We start from the raw sequence: 12,337 nt of genomic DNA on the forward strand, positions 1-12,337 counted from the left end.
CCATTCTAAGTAATCAAATATGACCGTATGATCTAATCAAGCAGATCCAGGTAGTAGGTATCTCAGCTGTTGCTGTCTGGTGTGTTTTAAGAGACACCAGTACAGAGCTCAGCCCTGCTCCAGCCGTAGGCGATGCCCATCCAATGAATATAGAACACACCATGGGAAAGAGTTTCATCAGCATTGGTCCCACTTCTCTCAAACAAGATGTGGTAAGGTCCAAAAAATGCACCCAGCATGTCTTATGCTCATTGTTCTGTGGGGAAGACAAAATTGAGAAGGAATTAGTTATTTCCAGCACAGATAGGAAAGATCAGGAAGGAAATAGAAAACATTATTTGAGCCACTACTGGGTATCCAGGGCTGAGCCAGATGCTGGAGATACAATCACAAAGAAGACCCAGTTACTGCCCTTCAGGGGCTTGGTGCACCCAGCAGACAACTACTTGCAGCAAACCTTAGGTAGAAGAACAACAGATACATGGGCATATGCCTCAGCAATGAGAAAGAGGCGTTCCTCTGCCTGAGGAAGAATTCAGAAAAGATGCTACTGGAGCGGGTTTCACCAGGCAGAGAAAAGGGGAAGAGGATTCCAGGAAAAAAGCACTGCATCTTCTTGAGAGCCCATAGTCTTTCTGCATCAACCTGGTTTCTTCAGTGTTCAGGACAGTGCCTGGAATATCATGGGGACTCAATAAAGGTTACTGGATGAATCAGAGAATTCAGGGCATGGATGAACAGAATGTCCTTTGGGTGTAAAGGTGTAAAGCTGTAATCAGGGAAGGCCCTGGTCAGTCCTTGGTTTTGAAAGATTTTTTTGGTGTTCTGGAGGCTGAGCTGGCTTGCCCAGGGATAAGCTAGAATGCTCAGGTGGGCGGCTGCTGCAATGCTCTGAAGGGTATATGCCGAGATGATCATAGGGGGTAGTTTTTAGAAGTATTTTAGATACTTACAGTAGGAATTTATTTACCAAAAATATATTTTTTAAAATACCTATCTTTTAAAAAAGACAATGCCTTTTAAAAGGCTTATTTCCTGGAAAGAAAGAGCTTTTAATAATATGTACTAATAATTGTAAAGGAAGTTACATACAAAACCAATAAAGAAAAGACTGCATTCAACTAAACAAGGTTAATGCCTACCCATCTGAGGAATCTTGGCTACTTTGTAAATATCAACTCAGTCTGCGGGCTGGGCCCTGGTGACAAATGCTTTCTCCAATCTTATGGAGAATGAGGTTGTGCAAGGACACAAAATCTAAAAGTATATAAACTAGAGGTTTTGAGCACTTTTTAAAAAGCAGCAGAACCCTTTGCTTAAGCAAAATCTTATGCAGAATCCTATAGGCAAATCAGATTACAAATAAGGATGCTTGTTCGAGGTGGAGTGCTGGGGACTGGAGGACCCCAAGGTCCATGATTTTCCATCACCTCCTGGCCTTTTGAGGCAGCCCATACAGGCCCTGAACAAACACCCAGGGGCCCCTTGGGACACAAACTACTTTCTAAAAGTCAGGACAACTTCCAAACTGGCCCATCTTTTCTACTAAAGGCCTGGTCCTCAGAATGATGAGATGGCCCCTGAAGGATCTGGACTGCTACTTCCTGCTGCTTATTTGATCATTGATAGGGGGTTTGGAATTATGAATCACAAGCCAAAGGGCAGAGTCCAAAAGCTTGTCTGCAAGTGGAAGAAGTGAGAGGAGCAGGAGATTGGCTCTTCTTGGTGAATCCCAGAGCTGAGGCTTTGCAGATGAGGAAGGCAAGACCCCATGCGGACAGCACCTTACCAGGCCCACACCCACATTGGGGGAGTGTGAGGCAGAGCCAGGTGTGAAGGCTCCTGAAGTTTCTTCTAGGTGGCTTTGGGGAATGGCTGTGTACACTACTGTCCCTTATAGAGCTGCAGCCTTCTCGGAATCGGGTACATGCTTTATCCAGTGTGCTCTGGTATAAGTTCACAAGCAGTGCAGCATGGGGCAAATCCAATGACATTTTGTTCCTTCCCAGAGACTGATAAGCTCATTTAGTAGCGACAATTCACAGTCCAAAAGAAAATGCTGAATCTCACTTACAGACATAGTAAAATTCAGGCAAAGACAGCCAGATAGCACTGGAAGCTATTTTAGACATGCATACATATTTTAATACCATAAATCTTTATTTTTCTTAACAAAATAGTCCACAAGATTATCTGTTACAACCAAGTCCCCATGAGAGAGGTTATAATCCCCATTTCAGAGATGGGGAAACTGACTTGTCCAAGCTTCCAGGGATGAGACAAGAGCTGGATCTTCCTTGCACACAGCTGCCCGTGGAGCTCACACAAAGAGCTTCCACAGTCAGCAAAATGTAGGCTCCTAGTGCCTAGGGAAGGCAGCTCAGAGTCATTAAAAACCGGTCCTGTCCCATCCCAAAAGGACATCTGGATAAATACACACTGGGGAGCCATTTTGTGAGTGTTCGTGATACATTTCCCATCGTGCCCTCAGATCAGCTTCTCTCTGGTGCAGCGCTTTGGGAAACACTTCTCTGCTAGCCTGATATACAGATTTGAGTTATTTCAAATCGATAAATATTTACTGGGCATCGCCCATGTAGAAGGCACATGTGCATGGCAATGGATACAAAAAATAAAAAATAGTGAGTAACACAAGGTCTTGGCATCCAGAGGCTCTTACTCTACTAAGGGTGAACAACATGAAGAATTTTAAAACAAGGCAGAATGTGAGAAGTACTACAAAGAGGAAAAAGCAAACAAGAGGGGGAGTGTTTCCGATGGGGCAGACTGTGGAAGAGCTTGTGGAGGAAGCAGGATTTGAGCAGGGTCCAGAAAGTCGGGAAAGACTGACTCGCAAATAAACAGGAGTGAAAGGAGGGAGGAGCCTGTCTTGACTGGTCTGCTTTCCAGCACATTGGGCTGGTTAAATATCTAAATTGTAATAGGCTTTCTGCATGCAAAATAAATAAAAGGAATTGCTACATACCTGGAATTTGCTGCAAACTTTCCCCAGGATTTACCAAGGTCCCACATTTTCTGGCCTTGCCTCTTTCTCTGACCTCAGTTCTGTCATCCCTCTCCTCCCTCCCTTCACAGTAGCCACCCTGTTCTCCAAGGGGGCTCCAGGACTTTCTGCTTGTCATCTTCCCTCTGCCTGGAAGGTAAACTCCATCAGAGCAGGGACTTTTGTGTTACTTACAATTTTATCCTCAGTACCTGGCACAGAGTAGGAGTTCAATTAGTATCTTTGGAATAAATAAGTGGATAAAATAAAGTTCTCAAGTACAGTACAAAGGAGGTGACAAATGTAGAATTTCTTCTTGGATAATTTCTCTGGCTGTTTTTAATTTTTAAAATACATCTATCTGGGCTGTAAATCGTGACTTCACCTGCCCTAAACCACAAGGACTAACTAGTGTTAATTAAGTCTGATACACCATTACTCTTCATTCCCAATGTACCATTGCAGCTTTTGAATACAGGATCATTTCAGTCTGCACAAGAATGCTTGGCCTTTTAATTCCAACTTCACAGTTGAGAAAACTGATACTCAAGGCAAAGAATCTTCTCAGTAGTCAGAGTCAATAACTGCAGGAACTAAGACTGGAACCCAAGTTTTCTGCCTGGTATGTTGGGCCTAGAAGGGAACTGCTATTCCTATCTCTCCATCTTTCCTTCCATCTTTCCTTCCTTCCTTCCTTCCTTAATCCTTCCTTCCTTCCCTCCTTCTCCCCCTCCTTCCTCCTTCCCTCCCTCCCTCCTTCCTTCTCTCCCTCCCTCCCTCCTTCTTTCCCTCCCTCCCTTCCTTCCTTTCCCCCTTCCCTGCCTCCCTCCCTGTCTCCTTCCTTCCTTCTTCCCTCCCTCCTTCCTTCCCTCTCTCCCTTTTCTCCCTCCCCCCTTTTTTTCTCCCTCCCTTCTTCCCTCCTTCCCTGCCTCCCTCACTGTCTCCCTCCCTCTCTGTCTCCCTCCTTCCTTTCTTCATTCCTTCTTTTCTACTTTTTTAAGAAACAAGGTCTGGCTTTGTCACCCAGGCTGGAGTGCAGTGGCGTGATCACAGCTCACTACAGCCTCAAAATCCTGAGCTCAAGTGACCTCCCACTCCTGCCTCCTGAGTAACTAAGCCTACAGGCACATGCCATCATGCCCAGCTAATATTTTGTATTTTTTGTAGAGACAGGAGTCTCACTATGTTGCCCAGGCTAGTCTCGAGCTCCTGGGTTCAAGCAGTCCTTCCGACTTGGCCTCCTCAAATGCTAGGGTTAAAGGTGTGCACACCCAGCCTGCTACTCCTATTCTTAACATCAAGCTGTAAAGGGCTTCCATGTATCGACAAGGGAATGTGGTGTGATCTGAGGAAAATCTCACCCTACAAACAGGAAATATTAAGCAAGTTTTGACAGTTACTCCTCCTTTGCTTTGCTTTAAAGTGAACTTAACTCCTCTTGATTACTGTTATTGGAATGTCTAAACTTAAAAATAATAAGTACTGCTTAGGAGCAATCGTTATTTTAACTGTGTGAATTAAGAGCATAAGTCTTTTGTTTAAAATTCTCTTGCGTGTTCTACTGAATACTTCCAAAGGTTCCGGGCTGTAATTCCCTTGCAGGCAACGTACGCTTCAGTGAAATTTTTCATTTGCAAATTAGGTTCGTTTACGGCAGAAAATGAAAAGTCATCATCAGACAGACCAAGAAATGGGGCCAATCTTTACCTAGAAGGAGTAATTAGCTGAAATATCTGTGGGGAAATTTTTATCTTTCACGTATTGTCAATTTTACAAAGGTATGAAAGAATCACTCTAAAAACCTCAAGAACATATCTAATTACGGTTTACCCCAGTGACTGTTCATAACTGACTGTTTACTCAGATTGGAATGGGAATTGCAGACATTCCTTGGATGAGACCACACTCCACAATATGGAATTCAGTAATGAGGTTCCGGTTCACAACCTCCCAGTGCAAAGTTTGGGCAAGGTTTAGATGGTTCTGTAGATGTCAGTTCTAATTATCTCCTAAAGGACAGTCTATACTGTCCCCCACTAAATCCCCAGTGAGGGAAGGGAAACCTTTCCTTGGAACATTACCTCCCTATTTATTTAATTTTCTAGATAAATCAGGAAAGATACAAGGAGAATGGAAAGGTAAGCTCACACATCACAGGCATCCTTGACAGTAGTGGGACATTAGACTGCTGACCAGACACAGGTTGGTGGTTATCTATAAAACGTTACTTATTACTTCAAAACCAACACACGCAACGCATACCTCCTACCGAAAAAACAAGCTCTTTTCATCACAATTGTGTACCATGTTCAGCTCTGGCCATTTTTATTTCCAGCAAGTTGGATTCATTCCATTTTTAATGGCAACTCCTTGAGGAAACGCTCTTTTTAAACCTGTGTTTTGAGAAATGAAGTTAATGGGCCAGAACTGGTTTATCATGAAATACTCATCAAGTCAGGAAACAAAGTTCAAATCCTTCTACCCTTAGGTGAATGAAATTCGTTTGTAGGACACTCCTGGAGTAACTATCTAAAGGTCATCTTTCTAGTTAGTGAAGACAGTTCTAAAATAGTAAACTTGGGTTCACTGCTATTACCTTTTGTCAAACTTAATTTAAAAAGAAGGAAACAAGTCTGATACTAAATCTAATAAAGTAGTCAATCATCTTAAATTATAGGAATAGAATTCAAAAGAGCCAGAAATTGTCTCCTTTCCTCTCCCCACCAACATCTGGGAATGAATGGTCAATTTTCTTTTTTTTTTTTTTTTTTTTCTTTTGAGATGGAGTCTCACTCTGTCACCCAGGCTGGAGTGCAGTGACACGATCTCGGCTCACTGCAGCCTCCGCCTCCGGGTTCCAGCGATTCTCCTGCCTCAGCCTCCTGGGTAGCTGGGATTACAGGCACGTGTCACCAGGTCCAGCTAATTTTTTGTATTTTTAGTAGAGATGGGGTTTTGCCATGTTGGCCAGGCTGGTCTTGAACTCCTGACCTCAGATGATCTACCCTCTTTGGCCTCCCAAAGTACGAGGATTACAGGCATGACCAGCGGTGCCCGGCCTGAGCGGTCAATTTTTAAAGTGTTCTCCTAATTTATCAGAGCATTTTGCAAAGCTGGAAGAACAGGCTGTACATGGAAGAAGCAGAACAGTGTGCCCTTCTCCACTTCAGGGCTCCAGGGCTATCTGTGGCTAGAGAGGTCTCACTGTGTTGTCCAGGGGTGTCTGTGGCTAGAAATCTTCAGAGCCACCTGTGGCTAGAGAGCTGGGACCATTCATTTGGCATGGGGCTGCACTCCCCCTAATGGAAAGGGGCCATGACACATTCCCGTGGCTCTGGTTTTCAGTATTCTTTATCAGCCATCACATTATCTATCACCAGCACATGCCCTCAGTTACAATTAACTAGAGCACGGCTTATCTTACACTCCTTACAGTTTAGGCTAATGTCTTTCTGAGATTTGGGAATGGTTAATCACATCCCCGGTATGTTGATTCTTACCAGCTTTAATTTCAGAAAATTATACTACCTGGAACACCAGCATGAGAAACTATGTACTCAGACCACCCTGTATATAACTCTGTTGTAACACTTATTCTACTGTGTGGATTGATAGTTTATGACTGTCTCTTTCACCAGAATCTCCTTGAAGATAGATAATGTGCCTTAGCTTGCACATATTAACTGCTCATCAGATGCTTGTAGAGAGAACAAATTAAGTTAACAGTGACTAGCTGCTGAAATTCTTCTCCATGAAAGTACAGAGTCACAGCAACCTGTTACAAATCACTCATTCATTCACTGTTCTAGTCAACCAACATTTAAAATATACGGAAGACATCCAGATGAACAAAACAGACATGGCCCCTCCTCTTAGGGTAGGGACGGTTAATAGAGAAGACAGACAATGAACAAGTAATCACATAAATGAATATCCAGTTGGAAATTGTAACAAAGTAAATGGAAGCAAAGTAGGGTCATGAGAGACTGAAAAAAAGGCTTGTTTATTTTGAGACTGGAAGGATCAGTAGGGGTCAGCTGTGGAGAGAATAAGATAAAAATTTCGAGGCACTGGGAACAAGATGTGCAAGGGCCCCGAGGTAGGGAAGAGCATGATACATTCACGAAACTGATAGATCAGTATGGCTAGAATTCAGCAGCAGGAAGGGTAAACTGGAATGATCCTAGAAATTGAATCTCTCTAAAATCGAATCTCCCCTTCTTTTCTCTGAGTATCCTTCCTTTAAAATAAGAAAATAACGTCACACAAGGCCTTGTAAACCTGGTAAAGGGCTTTTAATTTTGTCCTCAGGGGAAAAGAAAGCCTTTCAAGCAGGAGAGTGACAGAACCAGATGTGCATTTCCGAAAGGACATTCTCCCTGCTGTGTGTGGTGGAGGAAAAGGAGGTGGACAGCAGAGGGCAAAAGTGGGAGATGGTACAGAGGGCCACTGGGAGTCAGGGTCAGGACCTGGACCGGGTGGGGACAGCAGACAGGTTTGCTATGAATGCTGGAAGTAATTCTCAGGGTCTTGGTGATAGAATCCATATGAGACAGAGGTGCAATGTGTGCCTGGGTTTGTGTGTGCTCGGAGCTAACCTGGAATACCTAGCCTGCCCAGCTCCCAAACCATCTCCCAAGGCACACAGGGAAGGCGGGGCTTTGGTTAAGAACACACCCTAACAAACCCCAGGTCATCCCCCGGATCCTAGTTCTGGCACAAGCTACACATACATTTCTCCCAGCCCTCAGCACAAGGTTCTGCACCCCGGCCCGTGTCATTGCCCCACTGAGGAAAGTGGATGCTTGAGAGAATCTGTGCTTTCCTCCTTGTCAGCAGTTGTCAGCAGGGTGCAGACACCCACTCTTGGGGTCTCCATATGAGAAGCCCCCCCTCAACCCGACTGACTTGACAAGCTCAGGGGTGCCAATGAGTGGACTACAAAACGTCACACAGGCAGTGAAATCTAATGTCTCTGTCTCTTCCTTGAGTGGCCTATAAACATCCCTCCCTTAAAAGAACAAAAGAAAAGCCCTGCTTCCCATTGTGAGTTCTGGCCTTGGCTGCCCCAACTGTCAGAGCCACAGCTGAGGACCTCTGGCCTCCCAAGCCTTTCGTTTTTGCTCTGTATTCCCTCTGCTCCAGGCCCCTGACATCCAAAGCTCTTCTTAAAACATCCTTTGATATCCAATTTCCTTTTGATATGGCCCCTACTGTCAAAAGCACATTTTTGTTTTCTTGCTGGAGAACTGATCCAAATTCCTCTTCTGTGTACCCACAACTTCCTGGTTCTGCTCATGGATCCCCGGGCTGGTGCGCTTAATCCTCACAATCACTCAACCTGCTCTTTTCCAGGGATGCCTCCTACACTGAAGCATGCACCTAGTTTTTCTTTCTTTAACATACAACATTCTAATCTAGCTTTTCTTGCTTGACCCTTCTTTTCCCTACATGACAGCGTGTTACACATTCAGATTCCTCCCAGTTAATAGACTGGATGCTTTTTTAAAGAGGACCAACAGAGGCTTTTCCAAGCCCCAGCAAGAAACTCCAGTACTTTGTTTAAGAATCATTCTGTATTTTGAATATGAATGTCTCTTAATTTTGAATGCCCAGTGAGGTTAAAGATAGACAAAAATTATTGAGTGCCTACTATATGCTTGGCAGGGAGATATCTGTTTAATAAATGTCTTTATTCAGACACGTTCCTATCTCCCGTATTCCCTAACTCCTTTCACTTATTTTAGGTGGGTAACTCAAGCGCAGTGTGCTCTGGAGTATGAGAGAAAGCAATGTTGTAAGCAACCATGGAGAAGGCATGGTGAGATGTGGGCTGCCCTCCTCTCCTGGGCGGGGCTGAGGAACTTGGCAGTGGAGGATGGGCTGTGAGCATCAGCAGGCTGCTTTGGGGCAGGCAGGAGGGAGCCTTCACCATGACTGCATGGGTAACCAGTCCCCAGACAATTAAGAGTTAACTGGATAAATTTAGGGTTATCCAGGACCTCATTGCTCCTACTACTCCTTTGATTCCGGTAAACTCAGTGTAATGACTTCCACTTTCCAGAAATAATCCATGGGGTTAAGAACTTTCTCCAAGAACTCACAGGGAGGGTGGGGTGCCCCCTGCAGCAGAACCCTCCCCACATGGAGCTGACTTTGCAGCCCACCACCAACACACACACCATGACCTTGTCCCTGGTGCCCACAGAGTGTCTGGCTCCATTACCACTAAGGAGGCTCTGCCTGCCACTGCTAGGAGACCTCAACGACTCAAAGTCAGAGTGTGCACACGTTTGGGGCTCCATTCTAATTCTCAGGGCATTCACACTGTCCTGGCAACTCACCCCCAGAACAGATCCAGATATGGCAGCCAGCAGATAAAGACCTTTATGTGTGGGCAACACCAGGATCATTTGCATGTAGGAAAGAGGCCATCCCCCACCCCGTCCATTTACACAGGCAGAATGTGCCCTGCCACTTGGACCTAAAAAGACCTCGGCAAGCACCACAAGGTTTATGAAACCAAAGAGAACCAGCAACAAACTCACTGAATCAGAGGGAAGTAGCAGGGGCTTCTTCCCCTCCCCTGATGTTCACACTTGGCCAATTTGTTTAATTTCCTTGGCAACTATGGACACGCTAAACTCACAAAAGTTAATTCTCTGAGAGAAGAAAGATGAATCTTAGATAAACAAGGCTGCATTTGGGGAGGTGGGAAAAGCCACATGATGCATGTTCTCATCTCCCCTTCCACCCAACTCACCTGTCATCTTCCTGTGCTTCCTCATTGCAAAACCAGCATTCCTCTCACGGTCAGCTATGCACAAAATATCCTTCTGTTCTCCTGGTCACATCAAAGCACCTTCACGCTATGCAGACAGGTCATTGAGGGAACGGAGAAAATTAACAAACGCACCTAGGTTATTTCTATTAAAATTAGCCCCTCAGCCGGTAGGCTCTGTCAGTTTCCATTGAACACAAACTCTGACAAGTCTGTTGAAAACTTTTAACCTTTCCAGGTTGTGTCAACAGCTTGCAAACACAACAGGAGGATGGTGCCTCTGAGTTCTGCCTTTCCTTTTGGAATAGAGGAGGTATCAGAATTTGTTACCACCAGCTTTCATGTTTATCTTCACTGCTCTGCTCACTCCCCGCTGCCACTTAAGGAGCATACAAACACCTTACTGGATAAAGACAAACATCTGTCAATTGTCTATAAGGTCCTGATGAGATTTAGCTTTTGCCTACTTCTCCCCTCATGTTTTAGCCCACTCTCCCCCACTCTCTACTCAGCTCCACTGAAGGCTACCTTATGGAATTCTTCAAAAAAGCAGGTAGAGTTCCTCCTGCCACAGGGTCTTTGCATATCCTGTTCCTTAGCATGGAGCCCTCTTCTTACCTAGTGATATGGTTTGGCTGTGTCCCACCCAAATCTCATCTTGAATTATAGCTCCCATAATTCCCACATACTGTGGGAGGGACCCATTGGGAGGTAATTGAATCATGGAGGCAGTTTCCCCCATACTGAACCATCTGATGGTTTTATAAGGGGAAATCCCTTTCACTTGGTCCTCACTCTCTCTTGTCTGCTGCCATGTAAGATGTGCCTTTCGTTTTCTGCCATGATCATGAGGCGCCCCCCCCACCGCCCAGCCACGTGGAACTCTGAGTCCATTAAACCTCTTTTTCTTTATAAATTACCCAGTCTTGGGTATGTCTTTGTCAGCAGCATGAAAGTGGACTAATACAGCTAGTTAACCCTTACTCATCTCTTGGGATCTCAACTCAAAAGTAACTTTCTCAGGAGAGGGATGGTCTAAAATTTATACTCTCACAGACCTTTTACATTTATAATGAAGCATGTTCCATACTTGGGTATTATATATAGTATTTATGAAATTATTTATCTAAGGTCTGTTTGCCCACTAGAATAAAAGTTTCATGAGAGCAGGAAGAATGTGTGATTTGTTCCAACACGGAACATGATATATACTCACTAAGTGTGTTTAATTATTAGATTAATTAATAATTTTATCATGTCATACCTCTAGTTAAACATTTTCCAGTGGTTCCCATGATATTTCATAAAGTCTGAAGTCTTCCAAAACCATCTGTAATGGAATCTCACCCAATCATAGGAATTCAAGATTATTTATTATTAATCCCCTCAAAGGTACTCTCCTCTTCTGCCAAGGTCATTGGTTGACTGTGCCTCAACGATTGCCCCTCATCTAAAATAGCTTCTTTTATCTCCCCTCTGATTATTCAAATCTAGTAATGCATGAAAATGCAGGGGCATGTGGACACCATAACACAATGTAAGGAATGCAGCTCTAGCTCAGAGTCCTAGGTTCAAATTCATCTATCATGACATATTATGTGACCTTGACCAAGCCACTTACATGCTCTGAGCTTCTCTCTTTTAAAAGAACAAAAGTGATATCTACAAGGCTACTGCGGAAGTTAAAGCACATGGTAGATACTAGGTAATTATTAGCTCCACTTCCATTCTTCAGGTGAGACCATCAAAAACCTATATGGTGAAAAGTTGACATAATGGAGAAGCAGCATGGACCAAGTTCATCTACAAAATTAGTTGCCAGGAAAACACAGGTTTATCTTCATAAGCTGGCAAGGAGATTCTCAAAAGTGGTATATGGGTTCATTCCCACTGGTGTCAGGCAGACCCTGGAGGTAGGTCTGCTCTTCCTGGTAGCAAAGCAATCTATGGTCACAATGATTTGTTTCTTAAAGGGCCCTAAAGAAACACTAGTTCTCATCAAAGTTTAGCATCCTGTGTCTTTGACCATCTTGTTCAATGAGAAAGAGTTTAGGCAGCATCTGCTACATGTTCAACATTCTAGTTATTACTAGAGAGGATGAAAAATATTACACATGGGCCTTTCCCACAAGGTATTAATAGTATAGCCAGACAGGAAAGAATTGCCTTGATGAGGTGAGACCATACAGAATTGAGTTTTAATTGTGTGCTATAGACTAAGTTCAGAGGAGAAAAAGCAATCAAAATAATTACTCATTCATTTAATAACCATCCGTTAAGTATTTACCAAACACAGGACAATGAACTAAAAAACTAAAACACAACCAGCTTTTTAGGAGCTTGTAACTCTCTCCACCTGTGATCCCCTTTGTTCCATCCATCCAAATCCTACTCACCCATGAAGGCCTTGGTCAAATCACACAACCCCCATGAAGCCTTCCTTAACCATTCTGGACCAGCTCCCCCTCCTCCCATCTATACTTCTCAAACATTGTCTATTTTTCACACTGATTTTACCACTCACCTCACATTTGCATGGCCTGTGCTGTCAA

General features: G+C 44.0%; 1 protein-coding gene and 1 long non-coding RNA gene across 14 annotated transcripts in view; both read right to left on the minus strand.

Annotated features, from left to right (window-relative positions):
- RORA (RAR related orphan receptor A) overlaps window positions 1-12,337 on the minus strand; it is a 741,019-nt gene that overhangs the window by 606,072 nt on the left and 122,610 nt on the right. The window lies entirely within an intron of this gene.
- Window positions 1-12,337, minus strand: part of LOC107984805 (uncharacterized) — a 129,290-nt gene that overhangs the window by 88,068 nt on the left and 28,885 nt on the right. For 10 of the 12 annotated variants that reach the window (XR_007064660.1, XR_007064657.1, XR_002957761.2 and 7 more), the window contains exon 1: window positions 1-12,337. This exon is cut by the window's right edge and continues 28,885 nt beyond it. This is a non-coding gene — a long non-coding RNA (uncharacterized LOC107984805). The other 2 variants (XR_002957756.2, XR_007064659.1) reach the window with 2 other exon arrangements.

This window comes from Homo sapiens, chromosome 15 (genome assembly GCF_000001405.40).
Source record: "Homo sapiens chromosome 15, GRCh38.p14 Primary Assembly".
NCBI classification, from domain to species: Eukaryota; Metazoa; Chordata; class Mammalia; order Primates; family Hominidae; genus Homo; species Homo sapiens.